Source organism: Homo sapiens, chromosome 20, assembly GCF_000001405.40.
Source record: "Homo sapiens chromosome 20, GRCh38.p14 Primary Assembly".
Taxonomy (NCBI): Eukaryota; Metazoa; Chordata; class Mammalia; order Primates; family Hominidae; genus Homo; species Homo sapiens.
Genome location: NC_000020.11, coordinates 40,274,728 through 40,295,083, shown reverse-complemented (window position 1 = coordinate 40,295,083; position 20,356 = coordinate 40,274,728).

The following is a 20,356-nucleotide window of genomic DNA, read 5'->3' as shown; positions in this document are numbered from 1 at the left end:
TATAAATGCCATGCTTACATTTGCATTCCAGGAATATCCTTTGGACAGTCTCATATCCTTTGGACAGTCCCGATTGTTTGGCTTGGGAAAAGTCTGAAAGCAACAGGAACAGCCAGGAGGCTGTTAAAATAATCCAGGGGAGATATAATGAGGTTTCAAATGAGTCAATGGTGGTAGGGGTGGTGATAAGAAGCCTGGTTTGGAAGATAATTGTGTCATCTGAACTTGGGTATCAAATATAAATGGAGTTGATGACTCCCTGCACTTTGGTTATGGCTCTTAAGTAAGGAGAGGCCCTGTTTACTAAGGTGAGAATTTGTAGTAGGAGGAATTGGTTTGTGAGATCAGTGGTGCTCATCTTCATGATGGTGCAGTTCCTAGGACTGGGGGACTGTCCCAGATGCCATGCCCAGCATGCAAGTTCTCCACTGAGATGAACCTCTTATCTGTTTGGGGTCCAGGTACACTTCCAACTCTTGGTACACTGCACACCAGAGAAATAGAGACTGATTTTTGTCTAAATCACTGAGCATGGACTCTGGCTTTAGACTCTAGGTACGTGATATTGAGGGTCTCCCACTTCCAGGACTCTGGCTTAGATTCTCTGTTCCTTCTGGCCTGCACTGGGCAGTTATGGATAATGTCCTTAGGCTAAAATAACTCCAGGTCAGCACCTCTGCACACAGTGCTTGGCCTGTGGCCTCTCTCGTTGCATCAGCCTCACCAGGCTCTCGTTCTCTCTGTTTCTGCTATCCCACTGGTTCCAGCAAGTCATACAGCTGAGTTCACCCCAAGTTATGACATTATTTAGACTTTTCCTTTCAACTCGGAATATGAAACAAGGATAAATCATTCAACCTCCGTCGCCCATTTAACCCCTGTGTAAACTGTCTGAGGAATATAATGATAATTACCTTTTTCAGGGACAGAGTTGAGGGGAGAGTCAATTAAGGCTTGCACTGTGCTTTGAGATCTTTCAATGAAAGGCTCAGGGTTATTACTGTTAACAAGATACCAGAGGGATATTTGCCAGCAGTGACTCCCTTTGAGCCAGCATGTCTGTCATTAGTAATTTGGGGGCTTGGCACAGAGTCATGGGAATGTTTTAATGGCTTCTGTTCAACCCCAGAAATAGATTGTGAAGTTGCAAAAAGAAATGCTTGTTTTCTCTGCTCTCCTCTATTTCTGTACACGTGGTGACTCTCAGGGGAGATCTCAGGTTCTTTTGCCAAGGGCCAAAGAAGTGAGAAACAAGGTCTTATGCTGCCTCAATAAATTCTGACAGAATACAGTGGTCAGGCCTGTTCCAGAGACTGATTTAGAGAGGGGCTATACCACCAGATAGTAACTCTGGCCTAAACTGCATTTCTGGAACTGCCTGGGGAGCTTGCTAATCCACTGAAGTTTGGGAGTGATAGGTAATATTATCAAGTTGTGAGTGATAGGTATATTAATATTATTTCCTAAATAAATATTTAGAAAATGTTAGTTAATTTAAACAGGTGATTTTATTCCTAAACCAACTCTCAGATGCTTTTCAGAGTTGTCTCTGTGAGTCAGGAAAACAATGTTTTCTGCCTAGGATGCGTGGACTTGTTTCTAGGACCTGGGGAAAGAATATATGTGTCCAACCAACTTGTGTTTGGCCCTTCATTGGCAGAGTCCATGCTTTAGCTTAATTTTCAACCAAGTAATAAACGGTTATTTTAAAAGCTCCCATCACTCCCTCTTCCTCAGTTTTTTTCCTTTGTTTTTTACTCCATTCTTTGCTTTATATTTAATCAATTCTTTTCTCTACCTATCAAAGCAAGATGACAGACTGCAAAAAGCAGCAGATATCTGGAAATGAGAAGTAGCTTTGACTCTTACTGATGGTGACCTTGGGCACGTCAGTTAACCCCTACAACATTTACTTTACCCTCTGAAAAATGTGGTGATAACCCAAGGTCCCGGCAGGATGGCTGGGAGTCAATATGGACACAGTTGTTTCAGATGTTGCAGATGCAGAGTCACATAAACGTGTGAAGCTACTGAATGTAAACAGTAGGGTATAGTGAAGACTCCGGCCAACTGGAGCATTCTTGCCCCATCCACAGGGAGCCGCTGTTATTCTGTTATAGCAAATGTTTACCAGACTTTCTTTCTTTTCTTCTTTTTTTTAAATTATACTTTAAGCTCTGGGGTACATGTGCAAAACGTGCAGGTTTGTTACAAAGGTATACACGTGCCATGGTGGTTTGCTGCACCCACCAACCCGACATCTACTTTAGGTATTTCTCCTAATGCTATCCCTCCCCTAGCCCCCTACCCCTTGACAGGCCCCAGTGTGTGATGTTCCCCTCCCTGCATCCATGTGTTCTTCTTGGTCAACTCCCACTTTAGAGTGAGAACAGGTTGTGTTTGGTTTTCTGTTCTTGTGTTAGTTTGCTGAGAATGATGGCTTTCAGAGTCATCCGTGTCCCTGTAAGGGACATGAACTCATCCTTCTTATGGCTGCATAGTATTCCATGGTGTATATGTGCCACATTTTCTTTATCCAGTCTATCATTGCTGGGCATTTGGGTTGGTTCCAAGTCTTTGCTATTGTTAACGGTGCCGCAATAAACCTACGTTTTTGCCCCATTCACAGGGAACAGCTATTACTCTATTATAGCAAATGTTTACCAGACTTTCTTTCTTTTTTCTTCTTCTTATTATACTTTAAGTTCTGGGGTACATGTGCAGAATGTGCAGGTTTGTTACATAGATGTACACGTGCTATGGTGGTTTGCTGCACGCATCAACCTGTCATCTACTTTCTTTCTTTTTTCAAAGCACATAGGGCACTTAGAAATGTACATAATGTGTCCTGATTTTTTTAAGTGTTGGAACCAATTCATTTTCTTTTGCAAAAAGATGTGGAACAATTACAACATGGTTGTAGGCTGAGTTTGACTAACAAACAACCAATGCGTTATTTGCAATTTATTTTATCCTTTATCAATTTCTGCCTTCTTCCTCTTCTTCTTTATCCTCTAATACTTTTTCTTTTTCTATCTATTTTTCCCCCTGACAACAGTGTTTTCTTTATATTATCCTAAAGTAATACTGGATTTTTTGCTTGGGATGTATTTACATAAACCACAATTTCCTCATTCTTCCAACAGGCCCACTCAAATTCCCATCTCTTTTCTTATAAATGACAATACAAAGACACCACCAAGCCCACTGAGTTTTGAAATAGTTAAGTCTATACTTCCATCCCCAAGGGAAAACTGGAAATAATATATCTTCCTAGTTTTACTTAAAAAAAAAAAAACAGAATAAAAAAATTAAAAAAGACCCAACTTGGCTGTTGACAAGATCACCAGGAATGCTAACTCATCAGTCACTTGGGGCTATCTGCGGTTGAGTTCACCAACCCTTGGCCACATAAATGGTGTTAATCCTGAGCCCAGTGAGAAACTGGCCTGAAGGAGCCATGACCATGTGGCTCCATTGCCTTTCCAGAAAAATATGCTAAAGAAGCCCCAGCCACTGATTGTGCAGTAGTAAATTGTATGTAAAAGGTATGCTCATCACCAAAAATGAGCATGATTCTTCCCAATTGCAGTGACTTGCCTTCTTTTAACTCTTTTCATGAGAGAAATGTGACTACTTTATTTAAAACAAGAAGAGACCCCTTTGGAAACAGTGTAATGATACTTTGTATGCATGCCCACATTTTCTGTTCCCTCTCCACTGACAGAAATAACTAATCATCAAGGGCACTCTTCCCATTGAGTCTAGATATAGCCACAAAATCCTTCATATACATAGCAGCCACGATCAGTCATTTGGGGTAGGCATGTGGGTTAAAACCCAGTATGCCAAAAAGTGAAAACAACTCAAATATCCATTAAATAGTAAATGGGTAAACAAAATGGGATATATCCATGTTATAGAAAACAATTTGCCAATAAAAAGAAGTGGAGTATGGATACACATAACAACATGGATGAACCTTAAAACATTATGCTACGTGAAAAAGAAACAAACACATAATACCATATATTGTATGAGTCTACATATGGAAATATCCAGAAAATGCAAATCTATAGAGACAAAAAGTAGATTGCAGCTTTCTGGGGGTAGGGGTGGGATCAGGGGCTGTTTACAAGTGGGCTCAAGGTGTGTTTTCTAGGGTGATGGAAAGGTTCTAAAATTAGATGGTGGCAATGATTGTACAATTTTATAAATTTACAAAGAGTCATTTAACTGTACACTTAAAACAAGTGAATTCAATATTATGTAAATTATACATTGAAGTCAATAAATCTGTTAACAAAACACATGGAGTAGGCTTCCCTGTTTGTCAAGACATTTGACTACCTGGAGTCAGGGAGCCATGGAGCATAAGTTACTCCAGGATCTTCCACTGACTTACTATGTAATATTAAGAAAGAACTTCGTTTCTCTGTCTGCATTTTCTTCATTTGTAAGTTGATGTGTTTGAGCTGATGCTCTTTCAGGAACTTTTAAACTCCTACAGTACCTAAGAAGAAGCAAAGCAGGAATAGTTACTGCAATATTTCACCACAAAATAAAAGCAACCCAAATATCCATCCTACCAGGCTGTCAACTTTTGGGGAGGAGCAGAGATTGGGGATTCATCCCTTGCCAATGTCTGCCTCACAGCTCTCCACAGAGAGTTAAACAGTACCATCTATTGGTATAAGGAGATTAGGAAAATGAATATTTATGAGACTTCATATACAATATCAAAAGTATTTTCTAAGAAGTGAATATCAGCATGATGTATGACAGTGTGACATTCTTGCTCTGTCCAATGTGTCTTTTACTCTTCCCAGAGAGTATGAAACATTGGGAAGAAAACATCACCCTCTATAATCTAGTCCAGTTGTATAAGTAGTTACAGTGAAAAAAAGAGTTGTGTGTTTGTGTATGTGTGTTCCCTTGCTTTGGGTATGTTGTATTGGGTGAAGATGGGCTTTGGAGTCAAACAAACCTAAATTTTCTTCCAGGCTCTGCTATTAAATCCCTGTGGGATCATCACTTAACCTCTCTAAGCCACCTGTGACATGGGGGTAATCTAATTTACCTCCTAAGGTATTTCGAAGTCCTAGGAGACCTTCTTTGTTAGACAGCTAGAGTGGTTCCAGAAACAAAGTAAGTGTTTCCTAAATGTTTGTTTCTGACCTTTCTGCTCTTTCTCTGCCCCTCCACCACGTTCAAGGTCTGTTTGGAAATGGCTGGGTCTAGATAGTAGGGACTCAAAACAAAAGTTGCCCACTTCTCTCGATAATTAGATACACAAATGCAGTCAACCAAGGGCGTGTTCCTTTGGAAGGGGACCTGGCTATGTTGAATGACTGTTCACTGGCTCTGGAAATGATCCTGTCTTACCACTCTGCCCTTCTTCACTTTTCTCTTGGGCCTTAAGGTTTTCTAATTTAGAGTTATGACTCTTTGGTAAGACACTAGGTCCATGATAATGAATATTCCTTGGCACTGAGGTCATGGCAGAGCCTCCGATGAGAATTATTTCTAAGCTAGATATCCCAGGAGCCCACCCATCCCTTTTCAAATTTTGTCAAAGCATCCAAGTTTCTGTTTCTGTTTTGGAGCAAACCCATGGCTGTGCTGTCTGTCATGTGTCCTTTTAAGACATAGCCAGGAAACTCCACAAAGCTGGGTGCCATCAGATTTTGCAGGGCCACACACACTGATGGGCAAAACCAATTTTAGCAAGATTTTGCATATGTTTGAATGTCTTATTGTGGTCATAGAGATGCAGATACATGATAAATATTCTTTAGGGGAAGGGAGAGAAAAAGATGAACATTTGTGGGGCCTATTTTATGTTTGGCATTCGAGATGTTTATTCTTCTATTCACTTATTTAAAATGAGTGAATAATTTTGACTGCATTTTTGTGTAACAAAAAATATCAGATTCGTTGTCAAAACAAATTAAAAAATGCAAAAGTGCACAGGGCAAAAAGTAAATATATTCCTACACCAGCAACCACACCGCCTTCTCCACTTACCATTCCTTCTTGAAATTTTAATTTCAAGTGGAAGTAACCACTTTTAGTAGACTAGTATGGATTCTTCTCTTGACCCTCTTTTAGGCACTTTGCCATAAATGCAAATTGTTCTGCAATCCCCTCACTCTATTTATATACCTGCTTGCCTCTCTACATGATTACAGATAGAGTTCTCTCGCTCCTTTTCATGACTATCTCACATTCGATTTCATGAAATAACTCACGTTTGTTTAGCTATGCTCCATCCATGGTCATATGGATTGTTTCTTATTGGTAGTACATGTAACCAATGTGTCTATTTGCATAAACTTGCAAGTAATTTTGTAAAATGGATTCTTCAAAAGAATTTATTGAACAAAGTGTCTAGCAGGCAGGGAACTGGATGCTCTAAGTACAGCAGGGACAAGATGTAATTGCTTCCTGCCTCCCTAGAGTTTGCAATCTAGTCTGCCATTGTATTTCAAATGTCTACTCCATTTTTCCTCCACCTCTTCCCTGCTTATTAATGTAATGATAATTAGTCCTGGTTTATAGATAAGAAGCCTTTGGCTCAAAGAAGTATATGAACACAAGCAAGTTCACCCAGACTATTAATTGCATAGTTGGGAAACATTTTCACATCTGACTCCAGAGCTTCTAAGCTGCCCATTACCTGGTCAATGACTAGTATTTGGTCAGTTGCAACCCCCAAAGATGTGTCAAACTTACCTATCTGGTATTGGACTTAAAGCATCAGAGATCCAGGTGGATTAGAAGCAAAAAGATGAGTTTCTGCTGTTTGTAAAACCATGACACAATAGCTCATGAGGAGGAGCAGAGAGACCCCTGGCCCCTATTATTCATGGAAGGGTCTGTCCTGGGGTCAGGCATACCAGGTTTTGAATTTCAGGTCAGCCACTTAGCATCTGAATAGCTTCAGCCAAGTAATTTCTTCTCCATTAGATTCAGGTTTCCTCATCTGTAAGATGAAAAATATCAACATCCACCTTCCCAGTGGTTGTGAGGTTTCAGTGAGCTCATGTGCATAAAGTATTTTGCATAGATCCTGAGATAGAGTGGGAGCTTGACAAATGTGAGCTATTGTTACTGCTTTCATTTTAATGTTTTTTTTTTTTTTATTGCACTAAATCTGATTGCCCTCTGGAGTCCCTGCTTGTTCTGCCAACTCTGAGCCAAACACCTGCCTTCTCACCACCTTTACTGTCCTCAGGAGCCCTTGGGAAATTCTGAGTATGGCCTCAGCTCCCATCAGTGGAGAATGTGAACATGATATGTCCCCAATATAGTCCAGGATGCAAGGAGGCTACTAATGAGAAATGGAAAGGTGGGCACCGTTAATGGTTTTCCGAGGAGTCATTTACACTCAGTTTGGGAACTGGGTGTGATTTCTTCTTAGAATAACTCCCTGAAGATTTGTGACCTGTTCTGATCCTGTCATCTCATTTCCAGAGTCTCTTCTGTCCTCTGCAGGCCCAGCTTTGGAACTCAGCTCTTTGGCCCAGCTCTTGCTGCTAGGTTCCACAAGCACAGATGCTACTTGTCAGGCTTGCGCCAAGTTGCCCGGCCGGGACACTCACCACTGGGCCAGGCCATCCCTTTACCAAGCTGGGCTCTCAGCCACAGCTGGAGAGGTGCCAGGGGGAAGGAGGCAGGGCCTGCGTGAAGCTGGTGGTGTGGGTAATCGCGTTTGGGAGCCTGAGATGGCCTGCAGCTACAAGGGCAAGATTAGTGACATCAGCCCTTCCCAGGCAGCAGGTTCAGACAGGAGGAGAGGGAGGCCGCCGGCGCCCGGGTCAGAGGGGGCATTGGCAGCCAGGAGGGTGGGCCCTCCCAGACCTGGGCTCCTTGGGGCCTGCCTGCTCTGGCATGGTTGTTGGGGAAACCTGTTGGGTAAGCTCTTGTGTGTTTCCCTGTAAGGCTAGGTCTTACAGTCAAAGCAGAAAAGTGGGGTGAGGGGAGGGAGCTCTTTAATGGCTCTGACATGTACTTGAGAAGCTGCCAAAGGGTGGTTTATGTTTCTTAAACAGAGATGTGTTATGATAGTGAGGCTGCTTCTGTGGTGGTGATAGCTGAGCCCTGCCCGAGGCTGGGGCTCCCTGACATGCTCCTTTGCCAAGACAGGAGGCAGCATGGTGAAGGAGTGGATTGCCAGATTTGGGGGGCAGCAGAGGTAGCCGCCCAGGTACACAGAGTATATGACCTTGGGGTAGTCAGATCATCTACCTGAACTTCAGTTTCTCATCACCAAAATAAGAATAATGGTTTGTCCCTCACAGATCTCCATAGCTGCATGTTCCTTAGCTGCATACGTACATTGCACTATTCTAGGCGTTTTGCAAATATCTCACTTACTCCTATACTGACCGCATGATGCAGGTGCTATTAGGAGTCTTGTTTTACACATAAAGCACAGAGATACCAAACGATTTGGCTGAGATCTCATAGCAAAGCAGGCAGAGCTGAGATTGGACTCTGGGCAGATGTCTCTAACCTTAACCACTGTGCTATGCTTCCCAGAACTTGCCTAGGACCCTGGTCCTCCCCCTCCAAGCACTTGAGTCATTGTGGAATAGCACATTAGTTGATGTGATTTTGGGGTGAGTGTCCATTCCCCTAACTGGATTCTGAGCCCTTCACCTTGGTTTTTGCTCATCTCTGTATCCCCAGCACCTAGCTCTGGACTTAGTAAGGACCTCCCTGCAGTACCTGTGTGAAAGGCTGCCAGGAGGATCAAGATAAAGAACTCGAAATATTTGGTGGCTCCCTGTGAAATCACCCAGCACTGCTCTGAGCTTACAATAGGTGGTAGGGAAATGCTTATAACCAGGGCAGATATGCTGTGGGGCTGGGTTTGCCTCAGTGACTTTGTTCGGGGGACACGATCAGTCATAAATGCAGTTACTCCCAAATGGCAAAATTTGGAGCAATCTATTTGACTCACCTATAAGAAGAAACTGGGCAGGGACCATGTTGTTCAGGCAGGCAAGCACTGCGGTCATGTGCCTCATAGATCAACCCTTGCGCAGTTGATCTTTCAGATAGCATCTCCTCAAAGCAACTACCACCAAACCTCAAAAGGCGGTCCAGCCCACCTTTCTGTCTCGGGGAGAAGAATTTCTCATTTTGTTCAGCAACATAACCTATCCTCATCTTTAGCTTCAGGCCTAAAGCAGAAAATCTCTGAAGTGCCAAGGGGTTAAATGCCTTCAAGAGAAAAGAAGAGAAGCTCCTTTTAGGTTGTACATTCTCTCCTCTCTCTGCAGCCTGTGTGTTTGCAGAGCCTGATGGGCTAAGAGAAGGCAAGTGCCAGTCTCAAATTGTGTGCATTGTGGATGTGCGAAGATGCACCCAGCATTCCTTCTCTAACGCTGATGAATCCCACACTTGTGGAAAATCTGATGTTTTCCCAAAATGTTTGCTAAATTATCCATAGTATTTCCACCTTCCATTATGCTCATCCTGAGTTTCCTAGCTCAAGCTCCTGAACACATTGAAACCCACCTTTGGGCATGACTAGATTTATTGTGGATTTGGCTGGTATGATGCAAAGATGCTACTAGCCTGTCAGACAGACAGACACACGGACAAGCTGAAATGAAAGCATATTTCTAATTAATCTCTATGTTGGAATGGGTAATTTGTTTAGAAAGCATCAAAAAAGAAATATCTACGAGAATGTTATTACATTTTGATGTATTCAATTCTTGTCAGCAAAGAGAACATTTTAGAAACATGCTTGAAACAACAGTGTGCAGAGGTAGCATCAGGCAGAGAACAAATGGCTTCGGTTTATTTGCCCAAAGTGGAACACAGTCAATCAGAAAGCCTCTGCAAATTTATGGGGAGCCTATTATATACCACACCCTGTTTGGGGACTAGAAAGTTCCTTCATTTAGACTCATTTGCCCCTATACTCAGTTCTGTACCTGGAATGATAATAAAGTGAAAGAAAGAACATGTCAGTGTGAGAAATAATTTTTTTTTTTCTTAGAGAATGCTCTAGTTACCTGCTTGCAAAGTTCACTGGGGCCAGGACTGGCTATTTAAGATAGAAAATTACCTTACTTTGGGAGCAAGAGAGTTCCTGGCACTTTTGGCTGAGGTCTTTATTTTTCAAGGAGGTGTCCTCATTTGCTAAAGACAATTTCTTGGCTCCAGCAAACCAATTTAACAGTCACCTGCATTCCTTGACAGGACTATTGCGCCTCAATATTGCCACACCTGGGGCGTGTGCTGGGGCCCTAGATTTGAAGCATGAATATCTTTATCCATTCAGGGTGAGGTGGTGGCAGCTTGTGCTACACTCCCTACAGGTGGCTTGGCTCTGAATCAACCCCCTTTGATTCACATGGGAAGTCTTCTTTAAAAATTACTGATAGCTGCTTCAAAGTGTATGTCCTATTGATAGGGGAATCATGAGTCTCAGAAGATCTGGGGCTAACCTGATATCGTGAGTCTGCTATTTTGTCCTTAAAAATGGTACGTAAATCTGTTTGATTGAATGTATAACTTTGTAAGACTTTTTATGCACGTCCAAAGTTGAACATATTTTGTCAGGTTATGTTGACTTAAGAAATTGTGTCATTAAAAAAGGAAAATGAGAGTCAACTGTTTTATAAATGTTAGAAATCTTGCATTGTAGAGGAATCAAACATACTCATGCTGCGTTGTTGCTCTGTCTTATCCCTCACTGGCTATAGAGTATAGATATTTATACACATGTGCGCACGCGCGCACACACACAAGGTCTCCTTGGACAGCCTTCTTTTTTTTTTTCTTGCTTGCCAAGTGGCTCTGAGTATATTCAACTCTATGGCTCTTGATCCTTTTTGACCTATTGACTCACATCTGTCTAGTCAGAGTTATTTAACGGGAGCTCTTGTGTTTTAACATTTGGGCACCCAACACTCGGGTTTCTAGTTTCCAGGAGGTGGCCTCACCCAAGACATTAGGGCATCTGTCCTTGCCTGCCCTGACCTAGTTCTTCTTTCCACCTGGGCTATCACTTTAGCCCTTAACTTTAAGCTGTAAGTTCTGCTCAACAAGTCCTCAGCTGCTCACAGGAGTCACTAGAGGTTGCTCCTCCTTCCTTCAGTCTGGTCAATGTCAAGGCCCAGTAAGGTGTGCAGTGCATGCCAATGATGATTGAAGGGAGGTGCATCCTCACTAGCAAAAGGTCTGGGCTCAGCGGTGACTCATGCCCACACCTGCCAAGGGCATTACAGAGAAAGTCTCATCTAGAGAGCCTGAATCTTCAGGCCACATTACCAAGCAGGTTCTAGGGAGGAAGTAGAAGGAGGGATGTGGCCATAAGGAAAAGTAGATGAAGGTGGGTTCAGATCCTTGAGCCCTGATCCTTGGCATATAAACATCCTTGGAGGGATGTTTATATGCCAAATGCCATTTTAGTCAGGAACCTTGGTTTTCAGGTTGATTTTAAAAGCCATCCATAGTCCCAGTTAATGGAGAGAGTGCTTGGATAGCATATGTAATAACATTATATAATATTCACAATAATAACCATTATATTGATTAACCCTAACCATTTGCCTAACAGTGTGCTGGATGCTTCACTAGATTGGCTCATTTAATTATTTCATCAACTTAATGTAAGAAACTAGTATTCCCTTTTTACAGAAGTGAAAACAAAGGTATAGATAAATCAAATAACTTGCTCTGAATTCCATAGTTAGTAAGTGGTAAAAGTGCATCTAAACTCAGGAAGCCTGACTCCAGCTCCTGCACTCAACCACAATATTCTAGTGTCCCATGATGGTATAAACTAGGGATTTGCATATCTTCTCTATACAGTGCAAGATAGTAAATATTTTAGGCTTTGAGGCCATATGGTCTCTGTGGCAACTACTCAACTCTGCTGCTGTGGCAATCAGCATTTTTTGACAATATGTACATTAATGGTGTGGCCATGTTCCAATAAAGCTTTGTTTATGAAAAACAAGCCATGGGTTGGATTCAGCCTATACACAGTAGTTTGCTGGCACTTGGCATAAACCAAAGAGGACATGGAAGTTTCAGATTTAACAAACGTTCATTGGGACACTTATGTTTCGGGTACTTCAATTAATTTATTTTATTGATTCTTTCAAAAGCTTTAAGGTAGGAAAGGAATTCCCAGTTTACAAATGAGAAAACTGAAGCTCAGTGAAGTTAACTTTCCTGGAGACTTACAGCTAGTAAATGGCAAAGGAGAATTGAACATAACTCATCACAACTCAAATTCCTTTGTCGTTTTTCTTTGTAGGCTTTCCAAGTAGACTGAAGCCCCATAAATAATCAAGTCTCCAGAAGCTATACTGCTGATTTTTTCTTTTTCGGGGAAGTGTGAACATGTCAGAACTTGGCCATGACTAGCTGCAAGGCATGCTGGGACCTCAGGGACAGGAGGCTTCTGGAAGAGGAAGAGGCACTGAGATAAATATGGAGGAAACTTGCCCAGTTGGAAAACTGGCTGTTGGTAGAGGGAGGGGTTCCAGTTGTCCAAATGGATGTAGAGAATTCCAAGAGGTTCCAGCTTAGTCTCATCCCTGTAGTGGGGCATTGTGGGAGTGGGAGTGTGAGCAGAGATATCAGGAATCTCCAAGCTGTGATAACAATGGGGTATCATCCTAATTTGGAGCAGGGTGCAGGTTGGAGGCCCCTGGAAGGAGGCAGCTGGAAGGGGCCGGCTGTCATTGGAGTGGGCTGGTTCTCAGAAATAAGTTTTAGCCTCTGGAAGCATCTGGAGTGAGAAAAAGAAATCCAAAATGGAGCACACACTCATATAACCCAGGTGGACACCTGCCTCAGCCTTTACACCTCAGATTAAGGGTGTATCTTTACAGAGGCCTTGGCTGAACACTGCAGTAGACACCCCTTGCTCTTCTTTGTTACTGGGCTGTATTTTTCTTTACCCAGATAGACTCCCACTTCCATACCTTTCCACTTGCCACTCCCTTTTCCGGGACTGCTCTTTTCCCAGATATCCTCATGCCTTGCTCCTTCACTCCTTCAAGGTTCTCTTTCAAAAGTCATTTACGTGGGAGGCATTCCTTGACCACCTCATTCAAAATGTAAAAACCCCTTTCTCCCCATGATGTTTTATTATCCCTATTTCCTGTTTTATGTTTTTTCTCCTTAGCATTTACCAGTAACCTGTAATATGTGTTACCTTTTTATCTTGTTTCTTGATTGCTGTGTAGAAGATCTATGAAGTCAGGAAAGGTCTGTAGCTTTGTTACTGTATATACAGTATTTAGAACAGTGCCTGGGACATTGTTGGCACTCAATAAATATCTGTCGAATTGATGAATTAACTTCTCACAAGTTGCAATTACATATTTAATCATGTGTTATCTTTATATCCCACTAGACTGTAAGCTCTGTGAAAATGAAGACCATGTTTGTGTTTTTATTACTACATCCTCAATGCCTATATTATCTGAGGTGCTCAAAAGAAACAAAAAACAAAACAACAACAACAACAACAAAATACAAAAAAAATCACTTGAATGAAAGAATGAGTGAGAATTAGGAAGATTCTTCTAACTGGCAGAAGAAGCACAAGAACTTGTATATCTCGTCATCCTAGCTCTTATCAAGGAATTTATTTCTCCCACTGACGTTATAATTCTTTTTTTTGTTTCTTTTCTTTTCTTTTTTTTTTTCAGACGGAGTCTCACTCTGTCACCCAGGCTGGAGTGATGGAGTGCAGTGGCATAATCTTGGCTCACTGCAACCTCCGCCTCCCGGGTTGAAGCAATTCTTTCTGCCTCAGCCTCCCTAGTAGCTGGGATTACAGGTGCCCACTACCACGCCTGGCTAATTTTTGTATTTTTTAGTAGAGATGGGTTTTTGCCATGTTGGCCAGGCTGGTCTTGAACTCCTGACCTCAGGTGATCTGCCTGCCTCAGCCTCTCAAAGTCCTGGGATTACAAGCATGAGCCACCGTGCCTGGCGTGATCTTATAATTCTTTAAAGGATATATGTTGTGTCTTATTCGTGTCTGACCTCAAGATCCTTAACAGCAATTGGCACTTAGTAGGTAATAGTTAATTATCTGCCGAATGAATAAAGGCATGCTGTAGCAGTAAAAGCAAGGCCTAGGAGTGCAAAATTCATTTGAGAGCTCACTGTCTGGTGAGGCTGAGACTGGTTTGTTTAGGATGGACATGGAGTAAAGTCTTCGTGGCAATGGAGAGTTTTTGCCAGAGTGACTTAGATGTGCTTAGCCATGAGGCAACCTTATGTTGAGGAAATATGTTGTGTCTTACTCATGTCTGACCTCAAGATCCTTAACAGCAATTGGCACTTAGTGGGTGATAGATAGTTAATTATCTGCCAAATGGATAAATCTGAGGAGATCCCCTGCGTTTGTCAAAACTCGCACAGAGGACAGGGAAGGTAGTGTTGAATCCACAGGGGCAAAACTCAGACCTGCAGCTGAAAGCAACCAGGGAAGGCTAGGTACTGATAGTGGAGCAGGGATAGAATGTACAATTAAGCCCGGTGTGGTGGTGGTTCATGCCTGTAATCCTAGCACTTTGGGAGGCCAAGGCGGGCAGATTACTTGAGGTCAGGAGTTTGAGACCAGTCTGGCCAACATGGCGAAAATCCATCTCTAACAAAAAATACAAAAACTGAGCCAGGTGTGGTGGCGGTGCATGCCTGTAGTCCCAGCTATTTGGGAGGCTGAGGTGGGAGAATTGCTTGAACTGGCAGGCAGAGGTTGCAGTGAGCCGAGATCGTGCCACTGCACTTCAGCCTGGGTGACAGAGTGAGACTCTGTCTAAAAAAAAAGAAAAGAAAAGAATGTACAATTTAGAAGATTAATTTGATGTCAAAAAGTCAAAGATCAGAAGCTAAAAAACCACTTGGGCATTACTGCACATGTTCAGAAATAAGCATTATGACCTTGATTTAATAGGAGTAAAGTAATAGAAATGGAAGAGAAGTGGGAGCATACAAGAGGCGATTAGAAGGAATAAGTTATAAGATGTAATTTTTAAGTGGATATCTGAAACAAAAGAGAAATAATATGCTTATGTTTGGAGAAAAAAAAATAGTGGGTGAGCACTGCATTCGGCCTTTTCTGTTCATTGTCTCACTTTATCTCCAAAATAACTTTGTGAACACATGCCATGGCCCCTATTTAGAGATGAGAAAACAGACTCAGAGAGGCTAAGAGACAGGCACAAAAGGCTGGAGGTGGAATTCAGGTCCAGTTACTTCTACTTTCAAAATCTAACCTATTTATACAAAGTGACTTGAGAACTGTAGGTGCTGTTTAGATCTGGGAACCAGAAATGAGCATTTAGTGGCTGTGATATTGGATGGACTATGTTAAACAAATATCTGGCTTCTTAAAAAAAAAAAAAAAAAAAGGAAAGAAACAAAAAACAAGGCAGAGTGCTGAGTCACTCACCCCAAGCAGCCTGAGGGAGGTAATTATAAACAGCTGGAACAGACATCATGGGGCTCCACTAGAATAACCAGAGGAGAAGCTGGAAGGGACTGGCTCCGGAAAGGAGAAGGAGAACTAAAGCAGGGAAGTTACTGCAGAGGACAGAGCATGACCAGACACAACCAGATAGAGCCAAACAGAGCAGAAGCCTGCTGTTATGAAAGAAAAAACAAAAAAAGAAATCCAATTCTAAAAATGCAAGAGTTCTTTCAGCTGTTATCTCTCAGTAAACAGTAAAGTAATAGACACATGGCCCTGAAACCCTGAAGCCTTGACTCTCCATCACATGAAAATAAGTTTGAGTTGAGGCAATAAAAGTGGTAGAGAGGCCAATCAGAAATCTACAGGTAGAGGGAAAAGCTGGATGATGAAGTGCCCCATTTGGACTTAGAGGTTATTTGTTCTTAGGCTTCTCTCTTGTAGGTATTGGTGGCTCGTTTTTCTTGAAAGGCTAAGTAACTAATGCCTTTTATTGATGAATGGCCACTTGCCTTTTGATATACAGCCACTGAGTTAATTTTCCCTTCCACAATTTGAGACATCTCTGAATTGTGGTATTTACTAAGCTACCCCCATTGGGGACCCTGGGATCATCTGGGCAGCTTGCGAGACCCAGGCCCAGCCAGGGCAGGTCTGACATAACCCTGGCCCTGAAGCCTCAGCTAATGATAGAATATCATCCTATTGACTCCTAAATGGGAAGTCAGGAGGGGAAGTGGATTGGGAACGTGGGGTGAGGCATGCCCATTTGCTGCACCAAGCCACCATCACTGGCACCTCCTCTACTCCATGGACTTAGCTATAGGCCCAAGGACAAGTTGGATTTCAGGCATTAGCTTCATGTGAGAAGGAGATAACGTAAGTGTCCTGCAGTCTTTTTGACTTAAGTACATAGAGGTGGGTGAACAGTTGGATGTGAAAATGTTAATTTGCAAATAAATGTTCCAAATGCGCAAGCAGGGCCCATTTGCAAATGGAAATGATATAGGGCAAGAAAAGCTGAGTACCAAGGAGCATGGAAAGAATCATCCCTTGGTTTTTGTTGAGAATGTAAAAATGTGTAAGCATGATGTTAAGCATCAGAGACAGTTTGAGTACAGACAAAGATTCGACAGACTTGGATCAGAACAGCAATTCTTCAGTTTAAAGCTGTGTGAGATCAGGTAACATTTGAAACCTTTCTGCCACTCATCTATCAATGGGGCTGAAACTATGTAAGATGAGGATGAAACTGGATTAATATAGTACCTGGTACAGAGTAAATTATCAATGACTATCGGTTTCCTTTCTCTTTCTTTTAAGGTGCAATGTGAATAAATGAAGATACCATGGAATGCAAAGCCTCTGCTTAGAGCTGGGTTGAAAAATCCCATATTTGTAACAATGTAGATCAACAAAAATTCTTACATGCCAGTCACAATAATGGCAAAACCAAAGCATAAGGACATAACTCATTCAAGGTCATGAAACTTAGGTGGAACTCAAATTCAGTTTCCCAAAAGCTGCTTTGAAGGTTGGCCCTGAATTTTTCCTTCTCTAGCTCATCTTAAGGTCTGTGTTTTTAATTAAAACCAAACTACTTCCTCTCAGTGAACATACCTCATATCTCAGCAATCATTAGGAGCACAATGGGTCCTCCTCTTGCCTTAATAAGGTCGAGAGAGAAACAACAATAGCAGCTGCTGTCCTCCCCACCTCCCTTGGCTCTGCAGCTTAGCGTCTCCCTCTCTCTGGAGAGTCCGTGAGTCAGAATCCATTCCTGGGGACCCTAGCTTAGGAAGCTGCACTCAGTTTGCCTGTGTGTGCAGAGTACCCAGCCGTCTCAGGAACTCTTTTTTTTTTTTAACTTTGAGATGGAGTCTCACTCTGTCACCCAGGCTGGAGTGCAGTGGCCTGATCTCGGCTCACTGCAACCTCCGCCTCCCAGGTTCAAGTGATTCTCGTGCCTCAGCCTCCCGAGTAGCTGGGACTACAGGCGCACACCACCACACCCAGCTAATTTTTGTATTTTTAGTAGAGACAGGGTTTCACCATGTTGGCCAGGATGATCTTGATCTCCTGAACTCATGATCCGCCCTCTTCAGCCTCCCAAAGTGCTGGGATTACAGGCATGAGCCACCATGTCCGGCCTTAGCCCTCTCAGGAACTCTTATGATGAGGCACTTGCTCTCAGGCTCAGCACTGACACTGGTTCTTGGACTGAGGCTGCCTTTGGTCCTTCAATTGCTGTCCTCCCACCATCAGGTGATCACTCTTGCCCAGGGTGTGTTAAGGGTAATGGAATGAATGAATTCATACTCATAGCCCTGGTAGTTGAGCAGATGCCTTTTGAGTTTACTCAGTGAGGAAGGTAAGGACCCTCTGCAAAGACTGGTGCAGAGGGAGGGAGCCTTTCCTCCCCACTCCACTTCATCGTTTTTTAAACACACAGAAACACAGAATAAGATCCCTGTATTACTTGGGTTCTGGTCTCCTTTCTACTACTTAGTAATTGACAAGATCAATTGTCTATCTGCAAAAGGGCACTGTTTAGTGAGCTTATCTTTTTCTATTGGAAGTTCTGACATTTGATGACCCTGGAACAGGACTCAGGGGGACACAGAACCCACTCTGGATCAAACAGACCTGGTTGAAAAACCCCAACTCCTACACTCACCAGTTCTTGGACCTTGGAAAATTTTGAGTCTCCATTTCATCAAAGATATTGCATGATGGATATAAATGCTTAACATATACTGCTGGTATACAGTACATGCTCAAAAAAAGGGCAGCTTAAACAATCTCCCACATATCATCTCAATGCATGCATATACAAAAGAATATATATGCCCTTCCCTACATTGCTAGCAAGAATAGTCTCTTAAAGCTCCGCTTCAGAGCCATTTTCTGTTGTTTCAGAACAAACACAGCATATTGTAAATTTTCTGTGTTCCCTCCGAGACAGCTCCAAACAGAAGACAGGGCTGCAGGGAGCCAAAGAGCTGGGAAAATGCACAGCATTTCTGGTTCTGGGGCCTGTTAAGCAATAGGAAAACACCCTTTGGGGATGATTGCTGACAAAAATCCCTTCCTGTTCCAAACTGGAGGCATAGAATGGAGCAGAGCAGGAGGCAAGCCAGCAGTGGTTTCATCTGGGACCAGCTTGCTCATCTGATGAGGCAAAGACCCAGCGCTGGGCTCTCGTCCCACCCCCTTGCATTGTAGGGGAGCCATCAGAATGGGAGGTCGCCATGTTGGCCAAAGGCTTGTCCCAGGGGGCTTGGAGAGTGACAAAAGTTGCACAGAGTCCTTTTTCAGGGTGGTCTCTGACAGGGACAGAGAATCCAGGAAAAGTTTTGTTGATAGAACAGTAAAACAGAAACACATTTTTGGGAATGACACTTCCAATTTGGGGTCCAACCTCCTAGACAATATTGAAGCCTTGGTATAAAGAAAATGCTCAGTCCTTCAATTTGGGGTTCAGAGTGCATGGGTTTCCTCCCTATAATTGCTCTTTTTCTTTCCTTGAACACAAAAGAAAGTTAAGCGCTGCATTCCAGGATGGACCCAGAGAGAGAATGATCCATTTATTAAGAGCAGAGGAGACGGTTTCCAGAGGATCTGTAGGAAAATGCCCTTTGCCGGCAGGCGCGTGGCGCCCAGGCTGGGCTAAGCTGATTAAAGCTCCATTCAGAATTGCAATAACCCAAAAGATAAGCTGGGGCAACTGATGGGCCTCAAGATTAGCCACTAAACGGATAGCTCTCTCTGGGATTGTGGCTGCTGTATTTTTGGAAACGGGGCACTTTCTTTCCTTTCTTTCTTTCCTTCTTTAAAAAAAATTCTATTTTCTCATGGCTCTGCGTGCGAACCTCATTAATTTCCCAAAGTCTCGGCAGAAGAACAATTGCTCTAATTCCATCTGGCAAGGTTCTAAAGGCTGAACATTTCTCGTATAATATAAAATATATGGAAAATGAAGAGACACACTTATATATGACCCCTGTAATGGATGGCCCAATATACATAATAGGCTACACCCCATATGCAAACACACACATATGTGTATATAAATATTTTTTTCCATGCCTTTCTGCCCTTATCCTGGAATTTTTAGCAATCTGGCCTGTCCCTGCTTATTAATGATGTTTCCAGAGCAGAGCTCATTGGTGCACTTTCAGCAATGGGCTGATTAATAGGTGGGCACGGGGGAGCTCTTTGGAAGCCAGGGCATTGCTGGCTTGTTGACCTTGATGCTCCAGGGGATAGTCTTGTTTCAAACTATGGAATCTCAGTTAGCATCATAAATTGTGGAGCCACTGGTTTTATTGCCCTTCTGCCTCCTGCTGGGAATGTTGTTTCTCTTTAATAATGGGCTGAGCAGCAGCAATGAGCACTTCCCTTCCTCCTCCTCCCTCCAGGACTTGCCCTGTGCATGCTTGCTTTCTTCTCCCCCACCTCCACTCTCTACCTCCCAGCCCTGATCACTAAAGCAGACACATGACACACACGCGCACACATACACTGCACACACAAGCACCAGCTACACACACTTGCATCCATGCAGCTCTCATATGCATACCCAAGCATGTACATGCACACACAGACATGCATGCACACACACACACAGACATGCATGCACATGTGCTCACAGGCTCACACACATATATGTGCAGTAAACACACCCATGTAAATATAGAGATCTGTCATCCTCCTGACTTTTAACTTTAGGACTTAGTAAGGACACCCCCCACCCCGACTTTTCTTGGGCTAAATCAGGCAGGGATTTTCAAAAGGCACTTTTCTAAACATCAAAGAAAAACAGAAAATAACCAATCTGAGAAAATATGAAGATTTCATGCGCGTCCGTGTGAAGAGACCACCAAACAG